At 43.0% G+C, this 23,737-nt stretch overlaps 1 protein-coding gene across 3 annotated transcripts in view; it reads right to left on the bottom strand.

Annotated features, from left to right (window-relative positions):
- Window positions 1-21,573, bottom strand: part of FRMPD1 (FERM and PDZ domain containing 1) — a 143,676-nt gene extending 122,103 nt beyond the window's left edge. Inside the window, exons 1-2 of one of the 3 annotated variants that reach the window (NM_001371224.1) lie at window positions 21,463-21,573; window positions 1,482-1,562 (exon numbers count right to left, since the gene is read on the bottom strand). The gene's annotated coding sequence lies outside the window, so the exon portion shown is untranslated. Of the gene's footprint in view, window positions 1-1,481; window positions 1,563-5,653; window positions 5,956-21,462 lie in introns of those variants that run through there. The other 2 variants (XM_047423003.1, NM_001371225.1) reach the window with 2 other exon arrangements.
- Between the last annotated feature and the right edge of the window lie 2,164 nt (window positions 21,574-23,737).

Here is a 23,737-nt window from a genome sequence, read left to right as displayed (position 1 = left end):
GTAGGGTGGAAAGTACCAAAGCAAAAAATGGAATGATCCCAGATGATGATAACAATCCCTCACATCTTTTCAGTGATTCACACCAAAAATTAATTTTAAAAACAGTTTTATTCCTGTATCTCATTTTCTTTTCATAATAATCATAGAGAGTTGTCATAGCAGGAATTAATATCATCATTCTACAGATAAACTGAGATTCTAAAGTTAAATTATGTCCCCTCACCCTTCATTATTTAGATTTTATTACTAGCTTTTATTATCAAGAGTGTGAATTGGAATCAGGTTTTGAGGGAAACCCCTTTGTTTGAAATCCTTAGGATTTAAGAAGCTCCAAGACATGAAATATAAAAGCAAGAATATGGCAGAATGTAGCACTATATGTTGGTTAGTCTCCATTTGCTTCCCGTTCCCCTCTCCCTCATGTGTATTTCTGCCCATTGTCTCCTGTCTCCTGCTGTGTGCCCTGAGAGGCCCACCTCTGTAATTGCATTATGCAGTCACATTTCAGGTGAGTTTGACCAGTGAAAGGAACTAGCAGGAGAATAAAGGACAGTAACTAAGAGACATAGGGCTAGTTCTTTTCCTGCTCCCTTATTTGTCCTTCCTAGACTATAGCACCTGCTGGGTGGCCCTTGCTCTATGGCTCCAGCTCTCACTAGAAACTGGTACTATTCCTTCCTTGCCTTTCCCCTTAGGGATGTTAACAGCTTCCTACTCTTGGTTCCCTTGACCTGGCCCACAACTCTGCAAGTAGTGCCTTCATTACTGTCTCTTGAACCACCTCAGCTAGATCCTGTCTTCCCGCTGGGGCCCCGAACCATATGCACCTCTCCCACATCACCCTAATCTGCAAAAATAAATCTAATACCCCGAGGAACGTAGTGAGCCTAAAATGTCCACAGTCATAAATTCATTGATTTTTTTTCCTTTTAATAATTAATGTTTGTTTCTCCAGTGCTTATCTGTCATAATCCTACCTTGGGCCCTTGTTTATCCCTGGCCTGAACTTTTGTGATGGTCTTAGTAGACTCCCATCTCTAAAGCCTCCTACCTTCAATCAATTCTATCTATAGCCTGCTACAGGATTAAGCTTCTTGGTGCACAATTCTAATCATATCATTTCTGCAGTGACTCTCGAGTGCATAAGGGATAGGGTTCAAACTCCTTGGCCCAGCATGCAGGGCTCTCACCAGTGTGTCCAGCCATATCTATGACTCCCCTATGTCTTCTGTGCTCTCTAGTCCCCAGCCCCTTGCCAAAATGTATAATCTTCATTTTTGTTCACACAGTTTCCTTAGCCTAGAGGGGCCTTTACTTTGAAACTCTTCACAGACTTCAAGGTTCAGCGAAAAGGCTGCCCCCTGCCTGAAGATTGTCTGTTTCCTTAAGAGATAAACAACTGCTTTTTCTTCTACACTCTCATGAGTCTCTTTGTGTTTGTTTCCTATGGTACTTGGCACATTGAACTTCTCAATACATACAGTTATCTTTGTCCATCCTCTTCCATATCCCATTCCAGGCACCTTTCCCAACCAGAGGCTGTCTCGTTCATGGTGGTACCCCTAGCAATGAGAACAGGACACAGCATAGAGTGGTCTCAGCACACACAGCTTCCACGAATGAATTCATCAATGAATGTAGCATCCCCTCAGCACCTAACACAGTGTCTACCATGTGGTCAGACTTTAAAACATTCCAATGATCTACTGAACAGCAGGATAATCTATATTAAATGTCATATATGAGATCTGCATATTTGCCTATTTTGTATGATTATCCCTTCATATGAATATATATTATTTTATCATATGTCATTTTTAAAAAGATCCCTCTTTGGAGAAAGTATTACCACATACATAAGCATCTCTCTTTGTTTTTTTTTTTCTTTTCTAACTAAATGTGCTAAAGCTGAACAAGGGCCTGGAAGAGGTTTCTGAAGGGCAATTGGCTGCGTGCAGCTTTGAAATATCCTACTTTTTTCTCATTTCCTATCAGTCAGTCCCATTCTCTCCTTGCATCCAATTTTGTTTAATGAGACTACTGCAATGTATTTATTTTGGGGTGATTGAATTTAGAAAGACATTCATCTAACACGCAATTGCTGCCACAAGCTGAATGGCTGAATCATAACAGAGATGATGGCATTAATCCGAGGACAGCTGTTTCTTATCATTTCTAACACAAAAAAGGCTCAGGCCAGGCTGGAGTTTCTGCCTCAGTTGCAAGGTGGGACTGATAGGATCTAAAGCAGAAACGCTTCTGGACAGGTGGCAGTAGACAGGGAAAAAGAAGAAATGCCCTGTGAGGGACTAAACATTTGGTTTTTAGAACCTTGTCTCTCTGATGTGTGAGGGTTGCTTCTGACCCTCTGGGATGCTCAAGAAATTCCAATTCTAATGAGATAATTTGATAAGGATGGGAGAAGCATCTGTGTGTGTAACGAACATTTTAAGAGTTCACACATCTGTTGGTAATTCATTGCGGCTATTAAAGCAAAACGATAACAATGCTGGCTTACATTTGCACAGCACCTAATAGTTTATAACATGCATTCACATTCACCGTCTCAGGCAAAATAAGCAGCCACCACCCATGTGCCCAGAGCTCAGGGGCATATCCAATATGGCTCCCAGACAGCTGGGGAGCTCCTTCTAAGGAAATCTCCCATGGCATTTGCCTGCTTCAGATGCCCATAATCCACTATGAAAGTATTACTTCTTTGAACTCAGGCACTTTTACTGCTAAAGCAAAAATGTCCCCAGAAGCAAGCATATAGCCAACTCTGCAACTGATTTACACCTGAGTATGAAGGCATTCTCAGCAGAACAGCTGGCTGAGGATTTGAGCAGTTGTGTCAAACTGACTTCCTCTTACGTGGTACTATTGTGAGCCCTCACTTGAGGACCCCTTAACCTGAGCAAAAGCATCCTGTTCGGCAGGAAGTTTCTCCCAGGCCCTAGAAATCCCAGCAGCCCTCACCATCCAGAAGCTGTCTCATCTGCTGGGGCCTATTCACTCCCACGTAAATGCATCTAAGGTGCTTCCCACACTGGCTCTCCCCTATAGGGGCCCATATCTGCTCCCTGAAGCATTCTTTGCCTGAACAAATTCTGGGAGTGTTGGCCAATCCCGAAGCAGCAGCTACTCCTCCTTGTTCCACAGCCAAAGCATTAGCCAGCCCTGCTCTTTTCCTGTAAATTTCCAGGGCGGGAGTCAGACCCAGTCCCCTGGGCCCCCAACTGCAGGAGACACAGCTCAAGCTCTGAGTGGTCCTGCTGAAGTGAGGTGAGATAGGCACCCACACACCCCTTCCTTATCCCCTGGGGCCATGAGCGGCACTTAGCACACCAGCTGCTTCCTCCAAAGAAATCCTCTTCAAAAGCTTCCAGTCATTCTATCCTTCGACCCTTGGTGAGGATGACGGTGCAAGAGTCACGTAACCACTTTCTGCTAAATCCTGTTTTGAGTTCCTCTGGGTGGTCTGTCCCATTACTTTGGGTATCTGATAGCTATTGTGTCTGAATTCTCTGTGGAAACTTCTAGTCTAACACCCTGTTACAATTCACTCATCTATTCAGTGAACAATTAATGAAGGTCTACCCTAGTGTAGGCCTTTCCTGTCCCCTGCCTCCTTTATCCTCCTCAGTTACTCATTCTTTGCCTTCCTGATATGAAATATTGTAATGAAGAATCAGTCAGTCACTCCTTCTCTCTTATTCCCTTCTTCCCTCTCCATCAATTTCGACTATCATTTTGGATACATGTGAGAAAATGTTTTTATTTTCTATACAAAAATAGGTAACATGCAAACTGAAAAGAATTAAATTAAAACTACAATAAATAATGAAAATATTGGATGTCACATCATCTTATGAGCCTAGCACTTTTTTTAACAGAAAGCATTGAAGGCTGACTCTTGGGAATTAGTTTCTTCAAAATGCTATTGCAAATACACACCAATAAAATATTATAGTAAAGAAGGTGCTTTATCATCTCTTCCTAGTACACAGGGCCTGGAATAGCAGGAAACAAGATGAAAATAAACAAGGGCCAGAAGATATTTCATTATTGCTTAAAAAAAAAACTGTGCTATACTTTCTATAGCATATAAATACAGACACATGAAAAGGATACAATAAAAACAGGAGTTGAAAGGAAAACCCAGTGCTCCAAGACTGCTCCACCAGACAGCTGGAACATCAAACATGCTTTCTGAAATATCATATAACAGCTGTCTACTATGCTAAGCCCTTGAACATTACCCCAAATAGTTTTTTTTTTTTTAAATCATGATGATCAATAGCAACCATTTACTTAGGGCCTTCTCTATGCCCGGTGCTGGACTAAGTGATTTATGGTGCATGTTATTTAATTCTCACAGCAGCCCTGTGAAGAATATGGTATTTATTCCTATTTTATAGATGAGGAAAATGAGCCTTGGTAATTAAGGCATCTGCCTCAAGTTGTGTGCCTTGTCAGTGGCGAAACTGCTCATTATTTTTGGTTCTCAGCAATGCCAAGCCACTGCTCCTTCTACTCTGCTGTGATGCTGTGACCTGGAGGCAGATAAACACGAGTGTTCCACTTCTAATTTTGCCTATTTGTGTAGAAGTGAAGGGTAAAATGGAATTCTGTCCTCATCTGGAAGCCTTTGGTTTTTGTGTTTTTAAGAGCCACCTTGACTTAAGTGGGCATTGGACTGGTCTTTGTGTTAGTGAAACTTTTAGCGATCACGGTGACCCTCTGTTACAGGGTAAGGATGGAATGCAGCTGCCAACTGCCTCCCAGTAATCTCCTACTGGGGAATATATCACAGCACCAACTCCAGGATGTGGGGGAGGATAGAAACAAATGAATCTGGGAATACAGGTTTTTTTTTTTTTTTCCCCTGTCTACTCAGTGTCAATTGGCACCTACAAAAAGCAGTATGTAGCTAGTAAGCACCTTCACTATATCAAGCTAATCCACCAAGACTATACGGCAGGGTCCCCACATAATATGTGACTAAACCTTTTTCGATTCAATTTCTTTTTTTTTTTTTTCTGAGCTGGAGTCTCGCTGTGTCGCCCAGGCTGGAGTGCAGTGGCACAATCTCGGCTCACCACAACCTCCAATTCCTGGGTTCAACTGATTCTCCTGCCTCAGCCTCCCAAGTAGCTGGGATTATAGGCACCCACAACCACACCTGTCTAATTTTTGTACTTTTAGTAGAGATGGGGTTTTGCTATGTTGGCCAGGCGGGTCTCAAACTCCTGACCTCAGGTGATCCACCCACCTTGGCCTCCCAAAGTGCTGGGATTTCAGGCATGAGCCACTGCACTGGCCTTGATTCAATTTCTCTGCAGCTTTTGCCCTACTCCATTTCTATATTAATACAACTCTCTTTTCTTCCTCCTACCCTCTTTACCCTTCTCCCACAAACATTTGTTGAGCCCTTGCTATGTGCCAAGCCCTGAAGTAAGTATAAGGAAATAACAAAGATCTCTGACCTCAAGTATTTTCCAGTTATAGGCCCGGGTTGTGAATATCACAAAGGGGGACAGTTACAGGTGGGATGCATGTCACAGAGATGTCAGGAAAGGTTTACATGGAAAAAAAATGGAAACGTTCCCAAGTTTTCCCTGTTTGGAAAAAATTTCATCCGCACTCCAACCTGAATTCTGTTCCACTTTAGAGCTCTGTCATAGAACCTTATGGCATGTCGGTTTACATTAGTCACTTGGGGCTGGGTTTATCTCCTCCATTCCATTCAGTATAATTCACTCCACATAAATCCTGTGCTAGGCTGTGCTGTGGGAGAGGAAAATGATAAAGTCAATCCCAGGACTGGCTCAGCAGGGAGCTCACAGGAGGAAAGCTACGCAACAGAAGGATAAACCAAGTGCAACAGAGGATGACATGGACACAGATTTGCCTCCTCCCACTAAAGGAGGCAAATGCCATGGAGTGCTTTAGGGAAGAAGTGGCATTTGAGAGGAGCTTTGAAAGGTGAGCAAGATTTCTCTAGTCAGAGACCGAAAGAGAGATGATGCTTTGTAACAGATTCAGAGAAGGCAAGAAGAAGGGGAAAGAATGAGACAGTGTGTTTGAGGGAACTGCAGTAAACCAATGAGGCTGGCATATAGGGTATATGGTCAGGGAGAGGTGTATGATTGGAAGAAAAAAACCTGGAAAGGTTAATTTGGACCAATCTGTGGGGGCTTTCAATACTTGTAAGGTATTGACACTTAATATGTAGGCTATTTCCCACTCAAAAATGCTTCTCATTTTGGGGAAGCATTTTTGGCTGGGAAATTTATGTGCCCAAAGTTGTTTTGTATGGATTGTGGATGAGAAAAGAGACAAGGAGACCAATCGGGATGAGTGTAGTATTCCAGGTAAAAGAGGCTGTTGTTGCTGATGAGAAGTAGCAGTGGAGAGGGAGAACTGCCACTCTTGGGTCAGGGGCTGAGTGTCACCTATTCATTTGTCCCCTGTAACAGCCAGCACTGTTCCCCCCTGTTTCATAAATATTTGTGAGATTGAACTGTATTAAAGATTCAATTTGAAAGTATGAATTTATGTCTTGCAGATGTCTTGTCCTTTTTGTTTTAATCCTGTCATAAAAGTCATTCAATTCCAAGTCACAGTATTGTCCCTGCCGAAGGCTATCATTATCTGGCAGTTATGTGGCACCTCAGAGCAGTGGCACCTCATTTGCAGTCCTTAATTGCCTCATGCACCATTTTAATTGGTCTGCGATTGTCTGTGTGGACAGACCTCATTTCCTTTCTGGAGTCAGCTGGGGCTGCCCCACCCTTTCCTACAAGCTCAGTCATCCGAACATCACTAGCTGAGAAGACTCAGGAAGGCTGCTGAGCTCCAAAGCATGCAAAGAATGGGCTCTCATGGGGAGTTCTAAAGACCAGAGGGCTGCTGGGACCCACGAAAGGGCAGCTGTCCAGTGAACTCAGAGTCACTTTAGGCAGGCCTTTTTAGGAAAGTAGGAAGGAAGGTACAACAGGGGCAAACTGTAGGGACCGCCCAGAGTGTGACACAAGAATTCCAGATGAGGTTTGATAATTACATCAGTAGGGATCTTTAAAAATGGTTAAGATGACCCATTTAGAAAGTAATCCACCTCAAGGGATGGCTTAGAATTAGGGAATTAATGAGGACACAGTGTCTCCCGAATCCGGTCAAGTGGTCAGATTGGATTGGGATCATGAACTCAATTTAATCAAAAGATAATAATGGCTAATTTTACTGAGCATTTACTATGTGCCAGATACTTTTCTAAGCACTGTACCTACATTAGCATATTTAATCCTCACAATAATTCTATAAAGTGAGTGCTATCATTTCTCCATTTTACATGTGAGGAAACAGGCACAGAGCCAGTAAGACTTATCCCAGTGGGCAAGTGGTAGAGCCTGCATTTGAAACCAGGCAGTCTGGCTCTGGCATGTACTGAATGCAACGCTCTCTGAGGTCAGAGTGTCTCTTGTTCTCATCACTCCAGCCAGCAGAACTGGAGGACAGAAGAGGCCTGAATTGTAACATCTCATTCTGAGATATGAATGTTTGTCGTCATGGCATAAAGGGAAAAAAGTTTAGTTCTGCAGCCAAACAGACCTGCTTAGAAACCCATTTCCATCATATTAGTGATCTTGGGCAAGTTTAACCTCTAAAGGTTACAGTTTCTTGGGCGTAGGATAGAGATTAAGAGCAAAATCACATACCTAGGCCTGAGCCTAGCATAGTGTGGGTGCTCAATAATGACTCTTATCATGGTCTGTGTGCAGTCTGCGGAAAGCAAGCAATGCATAAGAATGGGTCCTTGTACATCCAGCAGTGTTTAGAGGAAAAGACTTCTGAGTCTAAGAGGGGTCGTTCAACCCTATGTTTCCTGTAGCTTGGTGGTAATATACCCCAGGAACACCAGCCCCCTTCATTCTAACTCTAGGATCACTGTTGTGCCTTCCAATCTATAATTTGGTCTTTGCTCCTGCCAACTCTGCCCTGAGGGGTCTGTCTAATCCTGTTGTTCTATCTCCTAGAGATACGGAGAGACTAGACCCATCTACAGTACTGCAAATCAAGCCCTACTTCTGATACTAGATTTTTCAATCATGGTTTCATGGTAAGCCTCAAATCTGACTTCTGTGCTTGACCTTCAAGTGGGTAAATCTAACAACAGTATTATGTGATATTTCTTCTCAGTGCAGGTGGAATTTACAAGAAAACTCTGTTCTTTTTCATGGTGCAACAGCAGGATGCAACAGAAAGTGCCCTGGGCTCTGAGATCTGTCTCTACCTCTTATTAACTGTGTGACCATAAGCAACTCCAATCCCCGCCCTTTCCCTCAAGAGTTCTTAGGATGATGGAATAAAACAACAGATGTGGGCCGGGCGCAGTGGCTCATGCCTGTAATCCCAGCACTTTGGGAGGCCAAGGTGGATGGATCACTTGAGGTTAGGAGTTTGAGACCAGCCTGGCCAACATGGTGAAACCCCGTCTTTACTAAAAATACAAAATTAGCCGGGTGTGGTGGTACACACCTGAAATCCCAGCTACGTGAGAGGGTGAACCAGGAGAATAGCTAGAACTCAGAGGCAGAGGTTGCAGTGAGCTGAGATTATACCACTGCACTCCAGCCTGGGCGACAGAGTAAGACTCTGTCAAAAAAAAAAAAAAAAAAAAAGGGCTGGGCACAGTGGCTCATGCCTGTAATCCCAGCACTTTGGGAGGCCGAGGCGGGTGGATCACTTGAGGTCAGGAGTTCAAGACCAGCCTGACCAACATGGTGAAACCCCGTCTCTACTAAAAATACACAAAAAAACAAGCTGGGCATGATGGTGGGTGCCTGTAATCTCAGCTACTTGGGAGGCTGAGGCATAAGAATTGCTTGAATCCAGGAGACGGAGGTTGCAGTGAGCTGAGATCATGCCATTACACTCCAGCCTGGGTGACAGAGGGAGACTCTGTCTCAAAAAAAAAAAAGAACAGATGTGATCATGTGTTTTGATTACAAAGAAACACATGAATGGAATGGAAGGAGTTATTATCACTGAGGTTTCATCTAGTTTGGGAAATCCCGACAATGTTAAATAAGATTGCTCTAAGCCATCTGGGGCTTGGGGTGTCCTAAAATCTCGAGGCTGTAAAGTGTTGTCAGTACTAAGGGCAACAGTGAGTGATCCTGAAAGAATTAGAAATGAGATTGTCCTTGAGAGTTAAAATAGGACATCAACACATAATGTATTAGAGTAGAGATTTGCTAAGTCACCTTAAAGAAACAGAATGGTTCTCAGACCGGGACCACTTGATGAAATCTCATTGAAAATATTAATACAGGTAAAGAAGAAAAGCTCAATCAGAAGCGAGGTTGACGAGCTAAGAAAATGCTATAGACCGGTGCAGTGGCTCATGCCTGTAATCCCAGCACTTTCAGAGGCCGAGGTGGGTAGATCACCTGAGCTCAGGAGTTCAAGACCAGCCTAGGCAACACAGCTAAACCCCATCTCTACCAAAAAATACAAAAAAATTAGCCAGGCATGGTATGCCTGTGGTCCCAGCTACTCAGGAGGCTGACATAGGAGGATCACTTGAGCCTGGGAAGTGGAGGTTGCAGAGAGCTGAGATCACGCCACTGCATTCCAACCTGGGTGACAGAGTGAGACCCCTGTGTCACACACAAAAAAAAAAGAAAGAAAGAAAAGACTAGAAAAGGTAGCAACCCTGCAAGGTCAGACAAGCAAGTCTTGGCAAAGGGGCTCTGGTTAAGAAGGAGATTTGGGTAATTCTGATGACAGGTATCTCCCTATTATAGAGGTCTAGGCCAGATGCCTCTAAACATTCTTTTAATTTCTTCCCCTTGTTTTAATTCCACACTTATCAAGCAATCTAATTATAGTTTAGCTTCATGTAGCTCCACCTACAAGAAATAAATCCATTAGCCATTGGACTTAGGCATCCCTTGGCAATTGTATTTCTTACCATGAGTTAATAAACTGACACCTGATTATAATATGACTTCTCATTTGGCCTACTTACTGGGCTAGAATGCTCTAGTCATAGGCCTTGAACATTTGAAACCTTCAGCAATTCTAGTTTTCCTTGTAAATAAGCTAGCATCCTGGTTATGTACATTAGCCTTGTAAGCCTAGACACCCTTGACTGCTGACAAATTAGACTTCCGAACCTCAGGGGCAAAGGGCCAGAACCTGGACCCTGTAACTTCATTAAGGTAATGCCCCACTGTGAAGGTTTTTTGGGAAACATTTCAGCTGGCCTTTCCCTGGAGTCATTCAGTCAATTTCATTGTCCACACCATGCCTTTTGAAACACTACGGAAGGAACTGACGCCCTTGTGCAATGCAGGGATTCCCTCTGTGGCAAAGCCTACCAACAGATGAATATGAATAAGTCCATATTCTTCATCCTGCCTGTCTCATTGGGATCCCAGCCTGCCTTCCCCATGTTATTTCCCATTTCTTCCCTATATGCACTCTGCATTCCAGACTTGGTATCTTTGCCTGTGTTGTCCATTTCTGCCTAGAATAATCTTTTTCCCTCTACCCCTCAGTCCCACATGCCTAATCCCATCTTTGATTCAAGACTTGGGCTAGGTGTCCACTCTTCAACAACCACTTCCATAATTGCTACCCCATCTCTGAAGTCCCATAGATCATTCCTGTTCATTTTCTACCTATGTTAGAGTGATGTCATATGAGAGGTCTCTAAGAAACTCAGAAATAAAGTCCCCTCTCTGCTGGCAGCATTCTTCCCTTATAAGAAAATCTTCCTGGGAAGTCAGATTCATTCAGTCTTTCATTTATTTATTCAGTCATTTGACAAATATTTCCTGAGTGCCTCTATGTGCCAGGCAGTAGGAGGCAAGTGTGGATAAGATTGACAGGGCTTCTGCCCTTATGCAGCTTCCAGTCTAGTGAGAGATGACAGACACTAAATAAAGAAACAGTTAATAAATTATGGCTGTAATAAGTGCCATGAAGCCGCACATAGTACATAGTACTCTGAGAGTACAGAAGAGGCTTTCCAGAAAAGTTATATTTAAGTTAAACCTGAAGGTACATAGGAGCCAAGAGAAGAAGAAAAGGTGCTTGAAAGAATGTGAGTTGAATGATCTCAGTGGCCAGTGTCACTGAGCTGTGGCAGCCTGATGTTTTCAGTCCATGGTTGACTACCCTGTCTTCAGAGAACGCTAGGAACAAATTTTAAAATATTTTTCCGCTGTGTCTCTGTTTTCGAGCTCCAGGCAGACTAACCCCTTTACACTAAGAGCCAGCAAAGTATCATATGATTTGTTGTATTTAAGCTCCCTTAGTTATAATTATATTCCCATTAGCCAGTTGATTTTGTTGGTTTGTTTCACATTAACTTTTCCTAATTTCATTCTCAAAGGGTAACATTAACTTCTTGCTTTAGGGAATCTTACTGTCAATCTCATCTACCACCTGTAAGGTACAAAAATCTTTATTTTGTTATCTGTTGTATCTGCAGTGCTATGATGCCTGTCACATACATAGTAGGTGCTCAGTATATATTCACTGAGTGAATGGATGCATGGATAGATGACTTTTATCTTCCCTCTTACACCAGGAGCTCTCTAGGAGCACACTACTTGCCTAGTTCACATTTGGGCTCCTCTAGCACTTAGGACAATGTCCTGCACATGGTAGGTAATTAATCAATAAATTATTTTTGAAAATGAAAAATCACCTTGCCTTTGCTTGAACGTTTTCATGACTGGAAAGAACTTCTTGCTTTTTCAGGCAGTTGGTGGTAGTTGAACTGCTCTAGCCATTAAAGTTCTTCCCATTCTCAGGTTAACATCTACCTCCCTACTGGTCCTAGTTCTGCCCTCTGGACCCATGAAGGACAACTCCTCATCCTCTGCCCCGTGGCAGTCCTTCTGATATTGGGAACAGTGACCAGGTTCTCGTAGTCACTTAAAAACAGGACATCTCTCCAGTGAACTCAAATCCTTTAAAATACTTTGAAGTAGGCTGGGCACGGTGGCTCATGCCTGTAATCCCAACACTTTGGGAGGCCAAGGCGGGCAGATCACCTGAGGTCAGGAGTTCGAGACCAGCCTGGTCAATGTGGTGAAACCTTGTCTCTACTAAAAATACAAAAATTATCCCAGCTACTTGGGAGGCTGAGGCAGGGGAATCGCTTGAACCCGGGAGGCAGAAGTTGCAGTGAGCTGAGATCGTGCCACTGCACTCCAGCCTGGCAACAGAGCAAGACTCCGTCTCAAAAAAAAAAAAAAAAAAAAAATTAGCTGGGCATGGTGGTGCATGCCTGTAATCCCAGTTACTTGGGAGGCTGAGGCAGGAGAATCGCTGGAACCCGAGAAGCGGAGGTTGCAGTGAGCCGAGATCACGCCACTGCACTCCAGCCTGGGCAATAGATCGAGACTCCGTCTCAAAAACAAAAACAAAAACAAAAGCAAAAACAAACAAAAACAAAAAAACTTTGAAGTACTCCTAGCATACTTCAAAGGAGGACACACCCCTCATAAGTTTGTGAGTGTTCTGAACTCCCACAGAGAGCCACTGTGCAAGCAGTTTCTCTCTCCAGGTCAGGAACCCAGACCGGAAACAGTGCTAACAATAATGAATGTTTACTTCACAATTAATAATGGTTTACTGGTCAATCCACATCACACCCCTGGGATATAGGTCAGGGTTTCTAGGCCTATAAATGGTCAAGGAAATGAAGCAGAAGACAAGGGCTTAAGTGTATTTTGCATAGGTGCTGGGACCTGAGTGGAGGAAAGAACCACTGAGCTGAGGGCTCAGGAAATCAAGAGCCTATTATACCCAGGCTGATCCACTGGGAATCGCCACTGGCCTCTCTCCTAGGCTGAGAGAATCACTTTAGGTCCAATGTCATTATAACCAGATCTGTGAAATGCTGCACATTCTAAGATAAGGAGTAAAGGGAAAAAAAGAATACAGAAGATAGACATTGAAGGCTTACTGTATGCCAAGCTCTGCATTAAGCTCTGTGCACTAAGGTATGTCAAAAATGTTTCCAAATACAGCATCTTAAACATATAAACCCAAAGCTATGCATACAGGTTTACTATTATTTGAAATAAAGGGTGTATTACCTGGAGGCTCAAATATCTTTCTGTTACACATAGCTTTTATTGTAGTGGGATTTGCTCCAAATCCTCTTAGAACCAATATACACTTGGGCAAAAAAAGAGTCTACCAAATAAAATAAGTGCACATATTTAATTTCATCAATTTCATTGTATTGTAAATGCACAAGACATTTTTAGTGATTCCCTCTGAAAATCAGAATCCTTTCAAAATCATTTTATAATTTGAAGAAATCCCTTCTTTATATTAGATCTTCAAGAGTAAGGCTTCCTGCAAGCAATGATTCTTAACCTGTTGGGAGATTTCGAGTCCTTTGAGAATCTGCTGACAGGTGGGGCCGTCCGCAGAAGCACATGTAGATTCGCATAAGCACAAAAAATTTGCTTATACAATTTCAGGGTCTGTGAACTCAAGGTTAAGAGCTTCTAACCTCTCACATACGTTGCTGATGAGAATGCAAATTGGTACAAAGGTCAAGAAGGGAAATTTGGCAATATCTATCAAAATTACAAATGCTAGACTGCAGGGCTGGACTTTGCTAAAAAAACAATTACAAATGCACATACCCTTTGGCCCAGTATCTCCTCTTCTAGGAAGTTATCCTACAAACGTATTTTTACATGGGTGAAATGATGCTTGCACAAAGGTATTAACTGCAGCATTATTTGTTACAGAAAAAGACTGGAAACAACCTAAATGTCCATCAATAGGGGACTGGTTAAATACATTTTAGTATGTCCATACATAAAATACAATGTATCTTTGTTTAAAAAAGAATGTGAGGCCAGGATGGTGGCTCACGCCTGTAATCCCAGCACTTTAGGAAGCTGAGGCGGGCAGATCACCTGAGGTTGGGAGTTCGAGACCAGTCTAACAACATGGAGAAACCCCATCTCTGCTAAAAGAAAAAAAACCACACAATTATCCAGGTGTGATGGCGCACGCCTGTAATCGCAGCTACTCAGGAGGCTGTGGCAGGAGAATCTCTTGAACCCAGGAGGCGGAGGTTGCAGTGAGCCGAGATCGCGCCATTGCACTCCAGCCTGGGCAACAAGAGAGAAACGCTGTCTCAAAAAAAAAAAAAAAAGAATGTGATAGTTATTCATGTACTGATATAACACAATCTCTAACATATATGATATGATAAATGAAAAAGAGAGATATAGGACAGTGTAAACAGTATACCATTTGTTTTTTGTTGTTGTTTTTTTGACAGAGTGGGACTCCGTCTCTAAAAAAATAAAATAAAATAAAATAAAGTCAAGCAAGTCCTAAACCTCACTTTCCTCATTTATTCAGTTATTCAACAAATGGAGTGTCTCTTATGTGCTAGACACTGTTCTGGCCACTAAGGATACTGAAGTAAAAAAAAGAGACAAAAATCTCTGCCCTTGCTTGAGGTGATGGATAGCCCAATGACTCTGATTTGATCATTATACACTGTATGCTTGCATCAAAATATCACATGTATCCCGTAACTATGTACAACTGTTATGTATCCATAATGATTCAAAATTCAAAAAAATCTCCACATTCATGGAGCTGACATTCTATTGTGGGGAAAGAGACAACAAATTAAGAAAACTATGTAGTATGTTCAATGGTGGCAAGTGCTGGGAAGAAACTAAAGTTGGGAAGAAACATGACGACTGCTGGCCGGGGGTAGTTGTAAAAACTAAATGGGGCTTCAGGGCAGGGCTTTCTGGGAAAGTGACATTGGACCTGAAAGAGAGGCAGCTCCAAAGCCTGTGGATAGGGTGTTGGGGAAAGCAGTCCAGGCAGAGGGAAGAATCAGAGCCAAGACTCTGGGGCCCTGAGTAGGCTTGGCTTTCCTGAGGAAGAGCAAGGAGGCTGGAGCCGAGGAAGCTAGTGAGGAAGGCTGAGGGAAGGACAGCCAGTGAGAGAAGACACGGGCCCGTGGAGCCTTTGTAGCCATTGTAAGGGCTTTGATTTCCACTCTGAGTCAGATGGGAAGCCGCTGAAAGGTTTTGAACTTGCATTTTAACAAGAGCACTTTAGCTACCATGATGAACAGACTTGAAGGGGGTGAGGGCGGAAGGTTACTGCAATCATCCGGGTGAAAGAGGATGGTGGTTTGAAGCAGGGAAGTAACAGTGGAGGAGTGAGAAGTACTCTGATTCTGGATATGCTTTATGAAGGTGCAGCAACAGGATTTGCTGACCAGATTGGATGCAGGGTTTGAGAGAAAGAGATGAGTCAAAGATGACTCCAAGGTTTTGGGCCTCAGCAACCTGAAGGCTGGACTTGCCGCTACCTGAGATGAGGAAAACTGAAGGGGAGGAAGTTTCTTGGGGGCAGAGGAACGAGAAGGGAATATTAGGAGCCAAGTTTTAGACATTTTAAACTTGAGATACTTTTTTTTTTTTTTTGAGACGGAGTTTCGCTCTTGTTGCCCAGGCTGGAGTGCAATGGCGTGATCTGGGTTCACCGCAAACTCCGCCTCCCAGGTTCAAGTGATTCTCCTGCCTCAGCCTCCCAAGTAGCTGGGATTACAGGCATGTGCCACCATGCCCGGCTAACTTTTTGTATTTTTAGTAGAGACGGGGTTTCTCCATGTTGGTCAGGCTGGTCTCGAACTCCTGATCTCAGGTGATCTGCCCGCCTCAGCCTCCCAAAGTGCTGGGATTACAGGCGTGAGCCACCATGCCCGGCCTGAGATGCCTATTAAACATCCAAACAGAGATGTTGAGTGGACAGTTGGATGTTTGGTCAGGAATTCAGGAGCACGGTTGGACTGTAATAATATTCATCTGTAAAACTGGGATAATATAATAACACCTACATAATAATGCTTATTATTGGGAGGATTAAACAAGACAATCCATGTGAAACTTTCAGTGTACACAGGGCCTAGCACACAATACGCCCCCAATACATTTCAGCTATTATTCTTATTGAAATTTAAATACTCTTAGTATTTTTATCATTACTATGAAGTTATGAATATGGTTGCTTTTAAGATTAATAAGTTGTTTCTGTGTCAATTCCCAGGAATGATTTGCAAAAGAAAACTAAGTCTTGCCAGGCACAGTGGCAAGTGCCTATAGTTCCAGCTACTTGGGAGGCTGAGATAGGAAGATCACTTGAGCCCAGGAGTTCAAGTCCAGCCTGGGCAACATAGTGAGACCAACTACCCTCCCCCCATCTCAGGAAGGAAGAAAGAAAGTGGAAGGAAGGAAAGAAGGAAGGAAGGAGGGAAGGAAGAAAGGAAAAGAAAAGAAGGAAGGATGTAAAGGAAGGAAAGAAAGAAAGAGAGAAAGATAGAAAAAAAAAAAGAAAGAAAGAGAAAGAAGAGAAAGAAAGAAAGTAGGCAGTGCCTTTGAAATTGGTTTCTAGGCCCCAGAGTTCAAAACTTTGAAGAGTTGGGCATGCATCCTAGTCCTTATAAGTTATGCCATGTTTCTTAAATAATCAGTATGTTACTTCATCAACCCAGAATTTATGTCAAGCTTTGAAAAGGGTTTGACATGGAGAATGAGGCAGTTTATCAGGAGAAATTGAATACGAGCAAGGACCCTGTGGGGAAGACATTCCCAGCCTGTTCACGTAGCCTTCGTGACACAGGGTTTAAATGCAATGCAGCATGAGAACTGACTACCCCGTCTCGCCTTCAATAGCTATAGATGTTATCGCTGGCCACAAGTTTATCTGGCTCCTTTTAAAATTGATTCACAAAAGCCACGACCCATGTCTTCCTGAAATAGCAAGCTTCTCAGAGGAACTTCCCTTGAAGAAACACACTCTTGCTATCGTCTATTAATTTATTCAGTGATCTTTAGCTGTTTTATGTTGGGGAAGTAGAAACAAGAGCTGGTATGGTTTTATTACACATTTCTAGATCTTTGAAGCAGCGAGCTTCTAACATCAAAACCTAAACCATGAGGTTTCTCATTATTTTCACATCTCTTTGAATTTTGACTATAAATCCCCGACCCTGTAATTCTCCTTAATATCTATGACAGGCTTGATGCTCAATAACTACCTATTAAGAATCCTCCTAATCTCCATTTATATGCAAAGGAAAGAGGTGTTGAATGGTTCAAACAATCCAAAAATGCTTGTGTAACAAATAGATGACTAAGGTCACATACAATCACAGACCTTGTTTGATGAATTTAGCAATGGCAACACAACCACAAGGATACAGGTGGATGTACCAGTGAGAGAGAGAAGGAACAGTAACACAAAGGAGGCGCTTTTTCCCCTAATCCTTGTTTTTTTTCCTTAAATGAGGTCACATAAACTGAACTGACTGCTGCTAATGAGGAGGTCATTGCTCAATTAAACTTCATGAAACACCACTTTCATTCCTTTCCCCGGATTCTTTTGTTTCTAATGATTTTTTTGAGATGGAGTCTCACTTTGTCACCCAGGCTGGAGTGCAGTGGTGTGATCCTGGCTCCCTGCAACCTCCGCCTCTCGGGTTCAAGTGATTCTCCCTGCTTCAGCCTCCCAAGCAGCTGGGATTACAGGCACGAGCCACCATGCTTGGCTAATTTTTGTATTTTTATTAGAGACGGGATTTCTCCACGTTGGCCAGGCTGGTCTCGAAATCCTGACCTCAGGTGATCCACCCGCCCCGGCCTCCCAAAGTGCTGGGATTATAGGTGTCAGCCACTGTGCTCAACCATGTTTCTAATGATTTCTACATTCACTGTCACTATGCTTCAAGCAGTGGCTTCATGTGAAAAAATAATAAAAACAAAACCCTTCTCCCTTCTCCCAGGAGTCAAGGACTAACCCCTCAGGGTCTCATAGCCCAGAATGACATGTGAAGGGCCAAGGACTCCCTTACATCTATGGTTCCCTGCAGACACTCCTACTCCAGCCTCTCTCTGGCTGTGTGTCCCAGAACTCTAGGTGGAGGAGAGCTAAGCAATCCAGGAACTGATCATTCTGAACTGAGCCAGTCAAGCTGATCTGTGGCAAGAACTTAATAAATTTCTATCCTGTATCTGTTTTTCTGGTTTAAAGGGAATCTTTTTTGTTTTCTATTAATTTTAAAGTAAATTTTAGTTTTATATTTCCAGCCAAGCTAAGAGGGAAAAGAAAAGAGTTTTGTGCATATTCAGCGTGGTGGTGCCAGAAGAAAACGCTATTTAGCAAGAGGTGCTTTATACACCAACCTCTCTTTGGCTTTAAAATTTAGAACTCAGGGCCACCAGAAAAATACAGGTATCTTTTTGTCCATGGGCAGTGTGACCATAAAGTTTGTCATCCAACCCAGAATACTTCTGAGAGTGAAACAAGGCAATACAAAGAATGCCACCAGTACAACAAGCAAATCAGACATCACTTTCATCACCAAATAAGTCCCTAGTCTACAACAATTTTTTCATCACTCAAGAGGCTTGATCCAATAGATGGTTCCATGGCTGGCACACAGAATAAATGCCCTCTTCCACCGGGATAAATATGCCCTACTGTTTTATGAATACAAGAGCAGGTTTCTTTCCTTCTCCCCTCTCTTATCCAACCATCTCTACTGCCATTTTAATTACAGAGTCCTGTTGCAGATTCTGTCTACCCAGACCTGCCATAACCTTAGCCCCTACATCCTTGCTCCAAAAAGTTCATCCAGGGGTCTACAGATTATACAACCCATCTCCTGATTTCAGTTAGTGGGCAGTGAGCTGAATATTTAAACTTCCGTAAGGCTGAGTGTAGCGGTTCATGCCTGTAATCCCAGCTATGTGGGAGGCTGAGGTGGAAGGATCATTTGAGCCCAGGACTTCAAGACCAGCCTGGGCAACAAAGTGAGACCCTGCTTCTACATAAAATTTAAAAACTACCCAGGCATGAACCTGTAGTCCCAGCTACTCAGGAGGCTGAGGTGGGAGGATCCCTTCAGCCCAAGAATTTGAGGTTGTGATGAGCTATGATCATGCCACTGCACTCCAGCCTGGGTGACAGAGTGAGACCTTGTCTCAGTCAGTAAATAAATAAATAAATAAATAAATAAATAAATAAATAAATAAAATTCTACCAGAATGACAATATGATTTGGAATTAGTCTTATCTGCTGTACAAACCAGGACAGAGGTCCTAAGGCAATTTCCAAAGTCCTATCAGATAGGTGGCCTTTCTCACCATTAGCAGGGGGCTCCTCTAGGGCACAGAATATGTACAATCTAATTCTATATTGACAGTGGCTAGTGCCCAGAGCAGGGGCTGGTGTAGAGTGGGTTCTCAGTATGTGCTATGGAATGACCAGGCTGCTTTCTCATCTCCGTCAGCTCTGGGTTCTTGAGTGCCCATGCTTTTCCTACCCCTTTCAATGCAGTAAGGGGGAGTCCTGCCATGATCTGTCAGCTGGCTGGGTTGGGCTTTGTTGCCAGCCCTCAGGGACTGACTAGCATTCTGCTTCTCCCAAGGATTGTGCTGAGCCAAACAGAGCCTCCCACAGACTCCAGGTACCAGGTTTGGGCACAGGCTGAGTCTGCTGGGTTCCATTCAGTTCAGGAACATCCAGCAAAGTCCATTACCTTCCCAGCCCCAGGCTGGGTACTGGAAGCACAGACTGAAAGTCATATACAATATCAAAAGGTTATATATGCACTGAAGCACGGTGACTAACAGCAACGACTCCACAGTGGAACTGCCTGGATTTGTATTCCAGCTCCACAATGTACTATCTGATTATCCTTGGATGAATATTTAACCTCTCTATGCCTGACTTTTCCATTTGTAAAGTGGAAATAATAGAGCCTGCCTCAGAGGGTTGATGTGAGAATTATATTCAATGATTTAGAACCATGCTTGGCACAGCAGAAATGCTCAATAATGCTAACTATTACTGTTTTGGGGTTTTGGCTCCTCTTCCTGCGGCCCTAATGCTTGGCCCACTTCCCTTCATTCTCCCTGGTTCTGGCTGGTTCCCTCATTTTTCAGGAAGGTCTTTTCTTTGCTCTTGGCCCACTTCAATGCTGAGGACCAAGGACACACATCTTCACGCTAACATTTGGCTGGTGCCTTGTCCATCAGGATTTAAATCCAAAATCTTTATGAGGTTAAGCAATTTTCTACCATCCCTGAACACAAGTGAATCATTACATAACTATTTTTCTAAGAAGGAAAGAAAACCTGGTCCACACAGAAGGAGGACCAGATTTGGAAGGAGTTGCTCTGAGCAAGAAGCCCCTGCTTCTAAGCATACCTTGTGACTACATATTTCCAGTTCTTTCAGGGACAAAAGTGGGTGTTTCCACCCACCTCTCAGAAATTCTGATACAGTGAACAAAAAGAATCTTCTTAGGATTTTTAACAATCACGCTGTTATTTTCTTCTCTACTCACCCTAAGTTCTCTACCAGGTACTAGATCTTCTTAACTAGTAATGATTGGTTACAATATATTTACTCAATTAGGCAAATAGACACTTTTCTTTAATATAATCTTTAATATAATCACCAAAGCCACTACTACCTAGTCAGGAAAGGTAAACTTTGAAATAAACTGGATTTTTTTTCACTTAGATTAAGAAAATGCTGAATTTTTATGATTTTATAGTTCATAGCCTCAAACTCCAAATAATTTTAATTCGCACACTTAACAGTTGCATTCAAAAACACTGCATTGCTGCCATGCCTGCCCCAGCCAAGTTCCAGGTGGTACTCTTTGCATCATCTCCAACACTTAAATTACAGATAATTTCAGTGAAAAGCAAATAATCAAAACTATGTAATAATGAGATTACAGGCTCACTCCTGTAATCCCAGCACTTTGGAGGCTGAGGTGGGCGGATCACCTGAGGTCAGGAGTTCGAGACCAACCTGGCCAAAATGGAGAAACCCCATCTCTACTAAAAATACAAAAAATTAGCCGGGCGTGGTGGCACACACCTGTAAGCCCAGCTACTTGGGAGGCTGAGGCAGGAGAAATATTTGAACTCAGGAGGCAGAGGTTGCAGTGAGCTGAGATTGCACCATTGCACTCCAGCCTGGACGACAAGAGCAAAACTCCGTCTCAAAAACAAAACAAAACAAAACAAAATAAAACAAAACAAAACAAAACAAAAAACCTATTAGCCAATAAACACAAAAACCTCCCCAAATATGATCATTCTATTAAGTATAAATCACAACTGCTCTGCCACCCACCTCCCCCACTGCAATACTTAGGAATGTTTCCTTCTGATGGATCTGAGTTAAATCCTTAAGACACAGCGGTCGAACTATTGTGTCCCAGAAGTCTCTACTTCCAGGATGACTTAAACACATCTCTGACCTAACTCGTTTTTTTGGCTTTGTTTGTTTTTTTGCTCATGGTGCCTGCTAACCCAAACCAATGGTTCAGTTGCCGTATGCTCCTAACACACACTTACCTCCTTCCTTCCACCAGTGTCCACAGTCTTCACACTGATCACCAAATCCCAGCATCAATCCTGGAAGAGACTGTAGAGACCAGCCAATCCAAGCCCTCATTTTACAGATATGGACTCTGGCGCCTACTAAGAGATAGACACTTGGCCAGGGTCACGCAGCTCATTAATGCAAGAGCTGGGACTAGAATTGCTTAACTGGAGATTCATCTCCCTGTGGTGTCATTCTTCTTCCAACTGGTTCTTTTGCCCTTTGCCCTAGTTGGCTTTCCTGCACTCGCACACAGTCCACACCCTCCTGGGATTTGGCAGCAGCCTGTGAGGCTCACCTGGAGTGAACTAACCCAGCTCAGCTGGCCTGGGACTCTTTACCTTCAGAGGAACAAGGATCACGTGGCTCTCCCGGAAACAGAAACACTGTGTGTGGGGATGCACGGGATGTTCAAGTATATCCATCACTACAGGTCTGCCAAGTCCTCCATGCTGAGGAGCAAACAGAGCTTACAAGTCATTTCTAATATCTGAGACTGTTAGGTTCTTTTTTGCTATAATTTCAGGTTACCCTGTAATAAGAGCTTTGGTAGTGCCCCCTAAAATAAACTTATTTACGATAAACATTTACTTAGGAGATAACCAAACAGTTCTCATTTGCTAGGCACTGTGTTGGCATGAGAGATACAAAAATGAGAAGACGTGATTCCCATCCTTATTTTGGTGGAAGAGAAAAACACATAGACAATGGTAAGATATTATGCTAAGTGCTTTGACGCTTGGACAAGAGTAGGCACAGGTCTCATAGACACACAGAAGCAGCAGCTAAGCCAGCACAGGAGAGCTAGTGGAATTTTTTTCATGACCTTTTTATTTAGAATAGTTTAAGATTGATAGCAAAGTTGCAAAGATAGTGCAGAGAATTCCATATACTTCTCACCCTGGTCTCCCCAGTATTAACATCCTGTATTACAGTGGTACCATGGTTACAACTAAGGAACCAGCACTGGCAAGTAACCATTAACTAAACTAGTAAAGACTTTTTGGAAAAGGTGATATCTAAGGTGATTTTATTTATTTATTTATTTATTTATTTATTTATTTATTTATTTTTGAGATGGAGTTTCGCTCTTGTTGCCCAGGCTGGAGTGCAGTGGCGAAATCTTGGCTCACTGCAACTTCCACCTCCCGGGTTCAAGCAATTCTCCTGCCTCAGCCTCCCAGTAGCTGGGATTACAGGCTTCTGCTATGACTCCCGGCTAATTTTTTTCTATTTCTAGTAGAGACAGGGTTTCAACATGTTGGCCAGGCTGGTGTTGAACTCCTGACCTCAGGTGATCTGCCCGCCTCGGCTTCCCAAAGTGCTGGGATTACAGGCATAAACCACTGCACCCAGCTATTTCTGAATGACATTAGGAATTAGCCAGATGAAGAGATAGAAAAAGGGATTTTGTGTGTGTGTGTGTTTTTAGTAGAGACGGGGTTTCACCATGTTAACCACGTGGTCTCAATCTCCTGACCTCGTGATCCTCCCGCCTCAGCCTCCCAAAGTGCTGGGATCACAGGCGTGAGCCACCACACCTGGCCAGGAAAAGGAATTTTAATCAGAAAGAATTCATGTGCAAAGACCTATCTTCCCACCAACATCATCCCTTTTTACTCTCTTCCTCAACCTGTTGCCTCTTCTTCACTCTTCCTCTATTCTTCTCTTTTCCCACTCAACCTCCCGCCTCTATCTCCATACACCGATCTGCTGGATGTTCCCTGAGCTCACCAAACTCTTTGCTTTGGGTCTTTGCACTATAAAATGTATATTTAGGAAGATCACTCAGGCTGCAAGGTAGACAACGCACTAGGGAGGATAAGACAGAATAAAGACCAATTAATGGGTGGCCTGAGCAAAAGTGGTAGTAGTGGGAACAGAAAGAATATTATGACTTTTGGAGATATTAAGGAGATAGAATCAACAAAACTTAGTGGTTAATTCAAGGTAGGGCCTATGGGTGGGGCAAGAGTCAAGTTGACTCCCAGATTTCTGGCTTTAACAACCAGAGGGAATGGATGGTAGTGCCAGTCATTGGGCTAGACAGCATAAGAGTTAAGATTGATTAGAAGAGTGCTATGGTTTGAATGTGTGACCAAAATTTCATGTGTTGAAAATTTAATCCCCAATGCAACAGTATTAGGAGGTGGAGTCTAATGGGAGATTTAGGTCATGAGGGCTCCACCCTCTTGAATGAATTAGTGCTCTTATGAAAGGGCTTTCAGGAGTGGGCATTCTCTTGCC

The sequence above is a fragment of the Homo sapiens genome, chromosome 9 (genome assembly GCF_000001405.40).
Source record: "Homo sapiens chromosome 9, GRCh38.p14 Primary Assembly".
NCBI classification, from domain to species: Eukaryota; Metazoa; Chordata; class Mammalia; order Primates; family Hominidae; genus Homo; species Homo sapiens.
This window is presented reverse-complemented; position numbering and strand designations above follow the sequence as displayed.